We start from the raw sequence: 14,879 nt of genomic DNA, 5'->3' as shown, positions 1-14,879 counted from the left end.
GTGACCACCCCTCAGCTAGTGTCGTCTTCACCTGGAGGATTGGCTGCAGGTGTTTAGAATCAGTGCAGAACAACCATTGTAGCAAGACGGTGGAATTATTGCAATCTCTGATGACCTCCAGCAATTTAGTGAGTTTTCTTTCCTAAACTGAACTTCATCTGTTGTCCTAATTCACTTAGAGTCCTAGACTCCTGGATGTGCAATGTTCTTTGAGATGATCATGTCCAATTTCCCCGTTATAAAGATTCAGGAAGCTGAAACTCAGAAATATTAGCAGACAACTCACAAAGATGGGAATAAACTTGTAATGCTCTCCAGTTTAATCCCTTTTTTTAAATATTAAGGCCATTATGCCTTTGTTCCAATCTCTAAAACAATTTCTATTTGTGTTTTAAGCCTCGGTTCTTAATTGTTTCTTGTTGAAGCAGAGGAATATAATATAATCCTGAAAAGAAAGACTTACTTCTTTTCAGTAGCCTTCTAATAGATTTCCCAGAAATGTTGCAGTTGCATTTTTTAGCATATGGTAGGTATACTTTTTTTTTTTTATAGAGTCTTATATGTTCTTTAAGTTTTAAAAATGGAAAATAAAAGAAAAGGAAAAATGAACTACTCATAGATCGGTTGCCCCTATGCAGCCCCTGAATATTGGGAGGAAGAGTGGACAGCAGGTAAAGTGTTCTCCAGCCCAAAGACCACTCCTGATGTCAAGCAGATCCAATCCTATGCTGCCTTTTTCCTTGTACTTGGGGTCATGCTGCCTGTACGATTCTTTTCTCTTCTCTTAGCATAATAAGTTTACCCATGGTTTTTACAAACATAATGCAGGTCTCATTTTTTTCATGGCTACACAATAGTCCATCATATAATTCACCTCCTTATGGATGTTCATTTACCATGTTTCTAATTTTTAATACCACAGACAATGCTTAGAGGACCATCTTTCTGCATTATTTATTTTTTCTGAAATCTGGATTGTTGCCTTAGGACAAATTCCCACATGTGGGCCTCAGACTTTTGTTCTGTGTTATCAAGTCCCTTTCCCAGAGTAGCCTAGCAATTGACAGAACTCCATGCCATGGGTCTGGTGGGTGCCTTCCTGGTAACTCTTACTGGGCACTGAATCTTCACCTCTGGCCAAGAGCACCTGTCAAGTGGCATTGGATGGTCTTGGGTCAGGTGCAGTTGGACAATCATAGGCAGGCGCAGGCATGCCTGTTCTCTGCTGGAGAGAGGCTTTGGGGCACTTGGTGTCAGTTGGTTGATGTGTGCTCCGTAGAACAGCCTCCCTAGTGGCAGCATTTTCTTCTCTGCTTTAAGGAATGATGACATAGTTCCTGCATTTGGGGAGAGAGATTCCCCAAACAGCAGATTGCTACCAAACTCTAGCCAGCAAGACTGCTCCTCATCAGAAAGCCATCTGTGACTCCTTCAAGAGAGCATGGGTCTGGGTTGTGGCAGCTGTGGTTCTGTGTGAACTGATTGAGATTGTGCCAATTTTGTGGAATTTTCCTAGTAGTTAGGTCAAAATTTTCCCTTTTTTCTCTCTTTCATAACTGCATGATCAGCATGACAGTAATGCTAATAAAATCAAAGGCGGACTGTCCCTCTCGTGAAGTCTGTTTTGAATTCTCCAGGCTCCCTCGCAGCTCCTATCTGATGCACACATGCTTTTCATTTTCCCGTTCTAATCATAGCAGACGTGGTTTTTATTCTGCTTTCCCTGCTGATTGCTGATGACGTCTTTCCATGCTGCCATGTGATTTTCCTGGTTACCGCTTGCTGGTTGCTTGGTATTACACCGAGGGAGCTAATTTCACCCCTCTCTCATTTCTAATGTGTTTCTGGTTTTTCCCACTGTAATGAATATGTGGCACAAATGTCTTTCCCTGAAGGTTAGCTATCCTATGTGGTTACAGAATATTTCCTTTCTCAATCTCCTCAGAAGCGGGACCACTAGGTTACTTCTAGGCATTTCATATCCACCTGATAAATATCGCCAAGTATACTAGTCGGCTCTCATGATGCTAATACAGCCATATCTGAGACTGGGTAATTTATAAAGAAGAAGAGGTTTAATGGACTCACAGTTTCACATGGCTGGGGAGGCCTCATGATCATGGTAGAAGGCAAAGGAAGAGCAAAGGCACATCTTACATGGTGGCAGGCAAGAGAGTATGTGCAGGGGAACTACCCTTTATAAAATCATCAGATCTCGTGAGACTTACTCACTATTACGAGAACAGCATGGGAAAAACCCACCCCCATGATTCAATTACCTCCCACCAGGTTGCTCCCACCACACATGGGAATTATGGGAGCTACAATTCAAGATGAGATTTGGGTGGGGACAGAGCCAAACCATATCACCAAGTGATCATCAAAAATAGTGGGCTCAATTCCTCAGAGTGTCTTCAGCTATAAACAATATGGCCTTTGCGGTGGATAGAAAGGATGGTCCAGCAACTCACAAGTCACCCTGCACTGTGACACCCAGGGACATCCTAGCCCATCTGTGGGCTTGTGTGTCAATGCACCCTGTGGCACACCTGTCAGACCACCTGCCAGCACACCTTCCAGTGCACCTGCCAACACATCTGCCAGAACGTCTACCAACATACCTGCCAAACCACCTGCCAACACATCTGTCTGTGCACCTGCCAACACACCTGCCAATAGGCATGGCCCTTGCTGGTTCTGAAAAGTCAGACTTAAAGGCAAAGAGAAAATGGAGCTGCTTCCCAGGGCTGCCTACCCCAGGAGGACACGGCCGAGGGAGACAACACTACCCAGCGCGTACCGTGCATCCGAGTGCTGAGATGTGTTGCTGTAGACTGTGGGAAAACACTCTTTTTCTGTTAAGTGAAACTTTAGAGGCCTTTAACCACGGAATTAAGACACCCACATGCTCACATAGAGGGACATGTATACAGTAGACAAGGGGCAAGTGAGTGAGGGCAGTTCTGTTCCTCAGGAGGAAGCCTACTCAGCCTTTGGGCAGGAGAGGCCCTGGTTTACTTCAGTGAATGAGCTTCAGGCTAAGGCTGGATGTCTTGGAACACCTCAATTTCACCCATGCCCCAAAGTCACACGTGCACTTATGCTTGAACTGCAGGGTCACAGGCTAGAAGGGAAAGAAGGGTTGTTATGGAGCCCAGTTGTTTTTCTTCTCCCAAGAGGAGATGGTCAGGGACAAGACCCACAGCTCTCCCTTGGCAGCATGGGGAGCCAGGACACAGGTGAGGCCGGGCCACTTTTGGCTTTTTCCAGCCTGTTCTCTGAGCTCACTGCAAGCCATTCCTTCTCTTGGCAACCAGGATTTGAGGACACATGCTTCCCTCATGGTTGTTTCTCAAGGGCCTCTGGGCTCCTTACCTATAACAGTAGTTGGGTTTCATATTAATGTGACTGTTGTCCATACCCACCCTGAGACCAGAGAAGGTGCCTTGGGCTCCACCTGGGACACGAGGGTTTAATACTGCTGCAGGGCGAATAGAAAGCTCCCTCTGGCTGGTGGGAAGGCAAAGCCACACCAGGCGGGTCTGCTTTGCTCTAGTAACTCGCTTATTCTCTGCCTTGACATGGGAGTAAGTGCATCCTTGGAGCACTCACTGTTCATGTTTTCAGAATTAGGGGCAAAGGCCATCTGCCTTACATGCACCCAGCATAGGCCACATGCGCAAGTTGTTCATAAACCCAGTCTGCACATCAGCAACTGCCTGTGTGTTAACAGGACACACCTGTCCCAATAGTTGCAACTAACATGTGTCTCCCTTGGTGTCTTCCAGCCTGCAATGTGTGGTACTTGAACTCTGTGGAGATGGAGTCCCTCACCGGCCACCAGGCGATCCAGAAGGCCCTGAGCATCACCCTGGTCCAGGAGCCTCCACCTGTGTCCACAGTTGTGCACTTCAAGGTGTCAGCCCAGGGCATCACCCTGACAGACAATCAGAGGAAGTGAGTGCCTAGAGGGAGGCAGGAGCCGTCCAGCAGGGGCGGGGCTGTCACGTTCCTCTTGTTCTTCCCTAGTGTGAGTAGTCATCCAGGTAAATCATTAGCCGTCTTTGAGGTCATGAGTCACCCAGGGTCTGTCTAGGTATTTTTCTGTCATTAAATACGTCCTGGGAACCACATAGGAACTCTTAGCATTTGTTTGCAAGGCTATTTTTCTTAGAAATCAGTAAAATAAAATAAAAAAAGACGTTTGGCGTTTTAAAATTACACACATACACACATAATTGCAAATGCAAAAAATCTTTTAACTCAGTTCCTTAAAAACACTCTGATACTATGATCAGAGTCCAATGATCTTGGAACCTATTGTTTTAACAGAGGGTCATTTCCTTTCAGGTGAGCGTATGACCTTGATATGTACTATTTCCGTTGGCCAATTTCAAATGACTTACGCCTGAGCTGTTACTGAGCCAGTTATGCTGGAGCAGATGTTCTCCATGTGGATCTTTACTGAATGCCCAGCATAAGCATGGAACAGAGCAGCCACAGGGCTGTTCCTGTCTCCCTCCCTCCAGAATGCCATCCCTGAGTGCAGCCTGTGGCCTAGGAACAGAGCATTTCAGATGCAATTATTTTGTATTGTGTGGTTGAGGAGGCACGTTGGCATCAACCGTGGCAGCAGCATGATGGCAGCAGCCATCACAGCAGACAGGCCGGCAGGGGACACTCAGACCAGCCTGGCTGCTTTCCCAGGATGCTCCCCGAGCAGGGCCCCCATGCCTCTCTGTGGTGCCCATGTCCCTAGAAGCAAGACATTTTCTTCATCTGCCCAAACCACCTGGGAGGTTGAAGGCAGGATCTTCCCCTCTGTAGCTTCAGGAATAAGTGAGTTTAGGCAGGTTTAGCTCATCACCCTTCATCTGCTGAAAAAAATGAGCACAAAGCAGAACGTGGGTTTTGCTGGTCAGACCCGTTCAGTGCCCCTGACACTGACCAGTAGATGACCCTGGGCAGGGTCCCAATGCTTGATGCTCTCGTATTTCAATCCTGCACCAAAATACCTATTTCAAGGTTTAGTGTCTCAAATGAAAAGGGCACTCAGCAAGTGCCCTGTGTGGCACACGCAGGGACAGGGTCAGGGTTGTGGCTCAACCCCACCATGTTCTCAGGGTCAGGGGCATGGCTCAGCCCCACTGTGTTCTCAGGGTCAGGGTCACAGGCAAGGCTCAGTTTCACGGTGGACTCAGGGTCAGGGACATAGCTCAGCTGTATGGTGGACTCATGGTCAGGTTCAGGGGGCATAGCTTTGCTGTTTGGTGGACTCAGGGTCAGAGTCAGGGTTGTGCCTTGGCTTTATGGTAGACTCAGGGTCGGGGCATGGCTCATCTGCATGGTAGACTCAGGGTCAGGGGCATGGCTCAGCTGCATGGCTCACCCAGGGTCCCAGTTGGGTATGGCTCAGCTGCATGGTGGACTCAGGGTCAGTGTCAGGCATAGCTCAGTTACATGGTGGACACAGGGTCAGGGGCATGGCTCGGCTACATGGCTCACTCAGGGTTCCCGTTGGGTGTGGCTCAGCTGCACGGTGGACTCAGAGTCAGTGTCAGGGGCATAGCGGAGCTACATGGTGGACTTAGGGTTTGGGATATGGATCATCTACCTGGTGGGCTCAGGGTCAGGCTCAGGGCATGGCCAGGCTGCTTGGTGGACTCAGGCTTACAGTCAGGAGTATGGCTAGACTGCCTAGTGGACTCAGGGTCAGGGTCAGGGTCAGGGGCATGGCTAGGCTGCATGGTGGACTCAGGGTCTGGAGGCATAGCTTGGCGACATGGTAGACTCAGGGTCAGGGTTGGGCTCCTTAAGGACCCTCACAATGTTGACTGTTCCCTCCTCCCTGCTGCCCTTGGAAGATATGTTATTTCTTCACAGGATCTGTTCTATGTGCCCTTGTCAGAGTTGTCTTTTTTCTGTGTCTCTTTAGTTTCCCTGTATTCTTTATATTCCCTGGAGATGGGTCATGTCCACATCAGTTCAGATCTTTCATACTGTAAGAGATAGCGTTTGAGTTCAGACTGGCTAATTCTAGACAAAAGGGGGATCTTCTCACCAACAATCAGCCTTAAAAGGCACCTGTTTGAGAGGGGCTGCAGGTGGCTGCAGGGTCACCTTGAATTGAAGCACACCCAGGCTCTGCCTCTGCCCTAGCCTATCTCCTGGCCTCTCTCTTCATCTCCAGATGAGCTTTACTCTGTGCCGGTGCAGAGTCATTCCCAGAAGGAGAGGGGTGACCCCAAAGCCAGCTAGACTGGCCCAGCCTGGACACAGCAGAGTGTTGAGTTGGGCATCCTCTGGGGACCATGTGGACTGGGTGGATAGCACTCTTGGAAGGAAGGGCTGGGCAGGTGAGCCGGAGGAGAATGCCCCAGGTGGTCATGTCAGTGACTAAGGGCTGTCAGGTGAGCCTGGAAGGAGGTCTCTATGGGGGTCGTATCAGTGACCATGTGGAGTCCTTCCTTAAGGAATATTCCTTGCACAGCACTTTATTGTTCACTCAGTGCTCTCAGACCTGTGACTGCATCTGACTTGGGCATCTGTCCTGTGGAAGGGGTGGGCTGGTAACATGATCCACTTTTCACAGGTGAGGAAACCAAGGCTCGGAGCCTGGAGGCTGTTAGTGGTTTCCCCACGATCCTGCAGCCAGCAGTGTCTGGCAGGGCCAGAGGTGCTTCCTTGTGTCCATCTCACACCCTACCAGCTTTTCCAGTTTGTTAGGGCTTTTTTTTTTTTGAGATGGAATCTCACTCTGTCGCCCAAGCTGGAGTGCAGTGGAGCGATCTCAGCCCACTGCAACCTCTGCCTCCCAGGTTCAAGCAATTCTCCTGTTTCCACCTCCCAAGTAGCTGGAATTACAGGCACATGTCACCACACCCGACTAATTTTTGTGTTTTTAGTAGAGACGGGGTTTCACATGTTGGTCAGGCTGGTCTTGAACTCCTGACCTCAGGTGATCAACCCGCCTCAGCCTCCCAAAGTGCTGGGATTACAGGCGTGAGCCACTGCACCCGGCTTGTTAGGGCTTCTTGACCCGATTCCCGCCTTCCACACGGCTGACAGTTTCAGCCTGTGTGGTGCTTCCGTCTACTGGTAACAACTGTTCTGCCCAGCTTCATGACATCTGTTGACTTTGAATGAGCACGCACTTTCTTCTCTCCAAGTGATGAGTAAAAGTATGAAATGTTTTCTGCTGGAAGAATCTTCATGTATGGGAGAGCCCGCCCAGTGCATCCCCCATCACCCAAAAGCCCTAGTAACAGGAGCCATCCTCTCTCCCCCATGTCCCAACAGGCTCTTCTTCCGGAGGCATTACCCCGTGAACAGTGTGATTTTCTGTGCCTTGGACCCACAAGACAGGAAGTAAGAAATTTGCATTTTTATTGAGCAAGGAGTGTACTTAATTCTATCCTTTAGTTTAAAAAAATTAACCTCTGTTTTTCTCTTTAATTTGCAAGGTGGATCAAAGATGGCCCTTCCTCAAAGTAAGTTGCTGAGATTTCTTTACATTCTCTCCTTGTCTGCAGTTGTACTCCAAAGTTGAATTCTCTTCCAGATTTGCACAGGGGGTGCCTTATAAGAAAATGACTACACCATGCCAATTTCTTTTAAAAAAGAAAAAAGTAAAAGTGTTCTCATTATGGACAAGGATCTGGATGCTGTTAACTTTTCTGCCGGCTGTTGGCTGGATGTGCAATATTTACATGTGTCATATAACACTGTGGCATAGATACAGGGAGATGGATGGCACAGCCTTTTTGGCCATTTGGGAATGCATGGGCTCAGCAGTGCTGAGGTCTGCACAGCTAGAAGGAATTGCTCCCTTTGTGCAGGTGTGTGGATGAAGCGGGTGTTCCAAATTTACCAAATGCAACGGAGGAGGGCCTTCATCACACCGTTGCTCCACAGCCAGTCCAGGCAGCTGTTAGAGTTTTTTTTTTTTTTTGAGACAGAGTTTTGCTCTTTTTGCCCAGGCTGGAGTGCAGTGGCGCGATCTTGGCTCACTGCAACCTCTGCCTCCCGGGTTCAAGCAATTCTCCTGCCTCAGCCTCCCAAATAGCTGGGATTACAGGCGTCCGCCACCAGGCCCAGCTAATTTTTTGTATTTAGTAGAGACGGGGTTTCACCATGTTGGTCAGGCTGGTCTCGAACTCCTGACCTCAGGTGATCCACCTGCCTCAGCCTCCCAAAGTGCCGGGATTAAAGGTGTGAGCCACCGTGCCCGGCTTAGAGTTCCCCTTTTATAAGCACACCTTTCCCTGGCTCCCTGAGTACCGTGGCCTTGCTTGGCCTGGGCTCATTCCTGGCCCAGTGTTCCTGTCAGGGCCAGCTGAGGGACCTCATCCTAACCTCCCACTTGGAGGCACAATGGGCTGTATCCCCCCAGCCTGGTTTCCTCGGCATAACCCGGATTTAATGACCACAGTGCCTGATCACAGGCATCCTTCCCTGGAATCCTGTTTTCAAATGGCTTGTCTGTCCAGGAAGTTGCTCAGTGCATGCGTTAGCAGAAGCGGGGAGAAGGAGAAGAGACCCTGGTACTGACGAGCTGGGCTTCCCCGGTGGGGACTGTGTTCTGGGCACACTCCCACTCTGGCTGGTAGCAGAAACACGGGCTTTCATGTGCTTGGAATTTGTGACTGTATTGGGGTTACCTGAGTGTCATTGACTGGTCCCTTCATGATGCGGAAACTGCTAAATTTAAACAAAAAAAATCCTTCATTTTTCTAAGAAAGAGAAGAAAGTCCTTTGCCCAGGACCTGGATAGGGATATGGTCATTATTGTGTGAAGTGCAGGACTCATAAAAGCCTATTAAGATAATGGCTCTAATTCTTCTAAGAAAAATAATTCGATGGGCTGTTCTTTTTAAACAGCTCCCTGAAGTCTATGTAGTTTGTAATGCAGGCTTCCAAGGCCTGAGAGGAGCGCCTAGTGTATTTCCCCTTCGGTCCCAGTGGGTGGGAGTGTCGAAGTCCAGACAGGACTTGCATTCTGGCATCATCTCAGGAGCCCCTGAGTCCCTTGCCACTCGCCTTGCAGACTGTGGTCCAGTATGTCAGGACTGGGGCTCAGGAATCTGCAGGGACAGGTGCCCAGGAGATTCTGGCCCTGGCGTGGGGAAGCATCTATAGAGGAAGTTGAGCCTCAGCTTTGATTCAGGTCCTAACCTGGGGCTGTGGACAGGGCACTCACCTCTCAGCCTCAGGGTCCTCACTGCAGAGCTAGAGTCAGACATCCCATCTGTAGGTCTGTGAAGGCTGGAGGTAAAGTGCATGAACAGGTGGCCAGCAGGGTGCTGGGCACGTGGTTGATTTTTGATAGGTGCCACTTAAAATTCCTCCTGACAGTGCCGCTGGCAGCTGGAGGAAGTAGAAGCTTGGTACTTTGTGGGACACTGACCACTCTGACTGGACTTTCCTTTGGCAGAGTCTTTGGATTTGTGGCCCGGAAGCAGGGCAGTGCCACGGATAATGTGTGCCACCTGTTTGCAGAGCATGACCCTGAGCAGCCTGCCAGTGCCATTGTCAACTTCGTATCAAAGGTCATGATTGGTTCCCCAAAGAAGGTCTGAGAACTCCCCTCCCTCCCTGGACCCACCGATGCCTCTCGAAGCCCTGGAGACAGCCGTTGGGTGAGGGTGGGGCCCCCACTTTTTACCAAACTAGTAAACCTGACATTCCAGGCCCATGAGGGGAAAGAGGATCTTCCAGCTCTGCAAAAACAAGAACAAACAACATCACCGTGAATTGGCCTTTCCTGAAAGTGACTTATCTGACACATCTCTGTAGCCACATGCTTTTTGGGTAGAAGAAGCTGGGCATGGGTGCACCCCACCCCCTAGGGTCCCCATGGGAAAGGGACATGCAAGGAAACAGCACAGAACACGAGGTGGTCCCCATGTCCCTGGCACACTAGCATTCCGGGGGATGAGGAATCCCCAGCCCTTGAGGCAGAGGTGCCGAGTGACTGCCATGCTTCGCCCGTCCGCATGGGCGCTTCTGTCCAGCTGCACCCGAGGCCGGGGGTTTCCCTCACCTCGGTCTTCCCAAGATGGAGATGCTAACGAAACTGAGAAGGGGGCGTATGTTTGACGAAGGTTTGTGCAAGTCAGGCCCTTCTGGAACACAGCAGGGCCTACAACGAGGGGCCTTTGCGATGGGCTGTGAGGATGGGGGTGGTGGGAAGAATTGGCCACGTTGGAGACCCCATGCCACCCCACCATGGTGAGTGCTCTGTGCCTCCTGCTCACCTGTGGTGAGCTGGGCGAGCTGGGCGAGCTGGGCGAGCTGGGCTGGGGAGAGCCTGTGAGGACCGAGAGGAGAAATGAGAAGAAGGAACAAAAATATTATTTCTATGTAATTTATATTTTACTTATGCCAAATTATTTATGATAATTTGCCATTGCTATACTGTACCAGTGTCAAATGCTGCAGCCTGCCAAGCTGTGATTTTGTGAGGCTTGTCCCTATGTAGGATGCACCGCAGGCCCCTGGCCACTGAAAGAGTGTGCAGTGGACTGTGGGTCTCCCATATGCGGTGCCGCCCAAAGGTGGCTTTGCCTCAAGCAACCTACCCTGATGTTTTACTCATTGGAATGTTTTTCCCCGATTGTGGATGACTTCTTTTCTGATGGAGAGAGTCCAGGAGGGATGGAAAACTCCTGGATTTAAGCTCAGCATCCCCCACATGGGCTTTTCGATCATCTTCAGGCCTGAAGCTGCACGACCTGAAGTTCGCCTGCATTTATCAGCCCTCTTTGTGCTGCTCCTTGCCACCTTGGGGTTCCTGCTGGGGACCATGTGTGGTTGTGGCATGTGTGAGCAGAAGGGAGGATGAGGAAAAAGAGAAGAAACCCCGGTACTGACAAGCTGTTTTTGAGTGCCACTGTTTGCCATCATCTAAGCCACTGAATCAAGTGTATTTCAGGCTTATTTCAACATTCCAATGCCCTGGTTTTCCTGCTTGAATCTGTTCGTGGTCAAAGGTTTGGGGGAATTTGTGACCCTGGAACATCCCCAGAGTGAAAGATGGAGCTGGGCCACATCAGAATAAGGCCTTGGCCCCATCCTCTCACAGCCTAGGTGCTCTGCAGGCATGCTGACTGTCCTGATTGCGATCCAGCCCGAAATTCCCTCCTCTGCTTTCAAAAGTCAAATCCCCCATTCTTAGGCCACACTGGTGTCACAAGCTCCTGTCAGGGAGCTGGGGTTTGGGAATGTGCTTTGTGAACTCTGCTTTAAAGTGAGGGGCCGAGGAAAACTTAGAAACAGGCAGAGTTGGAAGCAGCCAAATCACAGTGGGTGTTGTGTGTGTGTGCGTGTGTGCATGCGTGCGTGTATGCGTGTGTGAAAGCAGGTGGACCATTCCACTTTTTAGCTCCTATTGATGCACCAAACCAAGTGCCTCATTTCTGTGCCAAATGTTTGCCTTGGTCGTTGTGGACCTCCTTCTCTAACTTGCGGTGGCATGACTGTCAGGAGGTGCTGGCATTTTCAGCAGATCCTCATGTGTTGACCCTGATGTCTTTAGCAGAGGCCTCTAGCATCTCGGTTTTTCATCCACTGCAGGAATGTGGCCACAGGGAGCAGAGGTTTGTACTTTCCCCAAGAGGTCCTCATCCTGAGACGGTCTCTACCCATGTTTAACCCAAAGAGTGCAGGCCAGGTTCCTTATCCTTCTGATGAAGGATGAGAGAGCTCATTTAGAAGTCAGAGCAAACTAGGGTCTCAGTATTGAGAAACGCAGCCTGCCAGGGAATCACAGAGACATCGGGGTGCCCGCGATGGCCCTCATGAAGCCATGCCTCGACGGCATTCAGGAAGCCCTGCAAACGTGCTTTTTGAACTCATTGGCCAGGTGTGATTTTTACACAAGGTAAACGTGGTCAAGGGCATCGGGGAATTTGCTCCAAGCAGATAGCTCCCTCTGAGGAACCAAAGGAAGCAAGTTTCCACGATTTCTGAAGAGCTGGTATAGGAAGTTTCTTTCTTCCTTTTGTGTTACATGTGCATTAAACAGAACAAGCTGTGTGTCATCACAGATTGTACTGTGGGCTCAGAAACCGTGAGAGAGCCCCCACCGTGGACACCGGCTCTAGGGCCACAGGAAAAGGAACGTTTCCAGGCATTTTGTCTCCAGGGCTCCCGCTGGACAGGCACGTACTGCCCTGGGGAGTAAATGCGGAGAGTTCACGAACTGTGCCCAACGCATGTTATAGCCAGGGTCCTACTAACTACTCAGTAAAAGAACGTATTGTTGTATTCCTCCAGTGTTAAGCTATAGCCATGTTAAAAGTCACTGTGCATTTATTCTCAGCATCAAATACCTTGTAACGTCTTCTCTGCCTTGTTAGTGCATATTTTTACTTTTCTGATACTGTAAAGAATATATCCAGTATGTAAATGAATGTTCTATAAATCTTTTGTATAGTCATTTTCTCTGCTCCTTAAATATCATCTCTATTCAGAGTATAATAAAATTATGAACTTGGTAAGCCTCCGTGAGACGGTATTTGTGTACCCTGAAGTATGTTTGTGTGTGTTTGCACATGTGTGTATGCGTGTGCATGTGTGCACTTTTGTGTATGTGTCTCTGCAAATGTGTGCATGTGCTTGCACAGATGTATCTTTGTCCACATGTGTCTGTGCGTCTGCGTGTGTGCTCGTTCATGAATGTGTGTCTGTGTGTTTACAAATCAGTGGATTCAGTTATAAAATCACAAATGTTTTGCTGTCAGGAATATATTAAGATTTCTGCCCAGAGACCTTTGAAATGTTATATTCAAAGATCTTTGAAGATTAACCACAATGCAGTGTTGATAATGGGTCCTGACATGTTTTCGATGTTGCTATGAATACCCCTACACACACACTGGCTGCAGAAACACACCCCTGAAGTGGGCCAGCTCCTGAAGGACCTCCCAGTGTCTATTGAAGTGGGCACTAAAAGTGAATATTGAGACTGGTGGATTCACTTACACATCAACAGATGCTGGAGACAGCCAGTGTCACCTGCCTCTTCTGTTCCCCCAGCCAAGGCTCCTCCCTCCCCACCTTAAGGGAGTTTGCCCTTTTCTACGGACTCTGCCCTCTTGGGCCTGTCCCCTCCCTCCTGAGTCAGGTGATGGGACACAGGACCCCATCTAACCTCACTCCCTCAGATCCAAACCAGAAAAGAAGCAATGCTTTGGGCTCATTTGGTTATGGACAGATAAAGATGGCAGTTAGCTGCCACCCTGTGCACAGTTTTCTGCCTGCGTGGTCAGCCCCCAGAGACTGTAGCTTTCCACTCTGAGGAGACACAGAGATATTTCACCCCAGCTATGTTGGGAGAGTGAACTTGAAATGGTCCCGGTACTACTGCTTTGGAGCAGAAGAGAGGGCAGGTGGTGGCAGATTAAATCTTGTCCAACAGGAAGCTCCCATTGAGTCTTTGAAGCCAGTCATTGCCCAGACCTTTGACCAATGTCACAAGGTGGAAAGGTGGACAGGGCATTGATTTCACTGCGGCTTAGGGAGTGTGCTTCCCAAGAACACCATACTTGTCACAATTACTGGGCTCCGTACAGTGTGCACATGTGCCTAGGTCCCCGACCAGAGCCAGCCCTGGGGACTGTTGGAGAGACCCAGTGGCCATGAGACCTCAGCTGGACAGGCCCCTGCCACTTGCTGCAGGAGGATGTTATGGGTCCCCCATTCATCTCTCAGCAATCTGTTACCTAATGAGTACCTGGGCCTTACCTACTGGGGTCGTCCTTCTATTAATGTGGTGGGCACCTTGGTCCGTCCACTTGGGGGGTCATTGATCTATTGTGTAATGAACACTTTGGATCTGCCCACTGGAGGACAGTAGGTCTGTAGCTCAGTTGGGCTTCTGTGTCTCATCCTGTCCCCAGGGAGGTAGGTTGCCTGCCTGATGGCTTTGGGGATCACACTTCACAGACCAGGGGCAGTTGGGCTGGTCTCAGAGGATGAATTGGAGTTTTCCAGGTAGACTTGGGGCCTGGACTGGGAAGGGACATTTTATGATGCAGGGATTGGTGAGATCTGGACACATTTGGACAGAAGGGCTGTTGAACTGGCAAACAAGATAAGTGGGAAAAACACAAGTCGCCCTTAAATTCCTGAAAAATCAGTTCACAGTGTGAAGCCTGGCCTGAGGCAACAGAACAAATAGGTCACCAAGAGCCTATCACCAAGCCAGATGACCAGGAAGAGGAAACAGCAAAAGGGACTCCACTGCAATGATTGATCTGGCCGAGGGAGCCTCTCTGTCCCATCTCAGAGAGTCCAGGGTTGGGGGGCTGGAGAAAACAGCAGGATCCCCCTTAGCCCCACCTGGGAAGCACACTCCATCTCCCACAGGCAGGGGACCCACCAGAACACACACCAGGCCAGGAAGGTTTCATAGCTGTGTGCTGGCAGCTTCCCTCTCCCACTGAGAGACACCCCTTCTGTCCCTCAGGTAACGTCAGCAGGGACCCCAGAGGTACCTGATAAACCAAGCAGACTAACATAACGCTGAAAGGCTCTGACGATTAAACTGTCAGTGGGACCACAGGCCACAAATCAGGCCAGGCCCTGCTCCCTAAGCAGAATCAGGGCAATTACCTGCTAAAATTAAATATTTAAATAAGACCCAGAATTCCCTAATAGGTAAAATGGGATACAATAGAAAATTCCTTTCATACCAAGTACCAAGAAATGTGCAGCATGAATGAGAAAGACAATGAATGCCAACGTCAAGATGAACCAACTGCTGGAGTTATCTGGCAAGGATCTGAAAACAGCCATCATAAAAATGCTTCAAGAGGCAAATCTGTTGAAGAAATGAAAAAATAGAAAGCCACAGTAAAGAAATAGAAGTGATGAAG

At 49.4% G+C, this 14,879-nt stretch overlaps 1 protein-coding gene across 25 annotated transcripts in view; it reads left to right on the top strand.

The window, feature by feature from the left end:
• TNS3 (tensin 3) overlaps window positions 1-12,500 on the top strand; it is a 307,433-nt gene extending 294,933 nt beyond the window's left edge. For all 25 annotated transcript variants that reach the window (XM_047420733.1, XM_047420729.1, NM_001410878.1 and 22 more), the window contains 4 exons: window positions 3,789-3,957; window positions 7,300-7,368; window positions 7,464-7,490; window positions 9,434-12,500. In XM_047420733.1, the coding sequence (XP_047276689.1) occupies window positions 3,789-3,957; window positions 7,300-7,368; window positions 7,464-7,490; window positions 9,434-9,578 (410 nt within the window). In that variant the 3' untranslated portion in view covers window positions 9,579-12,500. The remainder of the gene's footprint in view (window positions 1-3,788; window positions 3,958-7,299; window positions 7,369-7,463; window positions 7,491-9,433) is intronic.
• The last annotated feature ends 2,379 nt before the right edge of the window (window positions 12,501-14,879 follow it).

Source organism: Homo sapiens, chromosome 7 (assembly GCF_000001405.40).
Source record: "Homo sapiens chromosome 7, GRCh38.p14 Primary Assembly".
Classification (NCBI taxonomy): Eukaryota; Metazoa; Chordata; class Mammalia; order Primates; family Hominidae; genus Homo; species Homo sapiens.
This window is presented reverse-complemented; position numbering and strand designations above follow the sequence as displayed.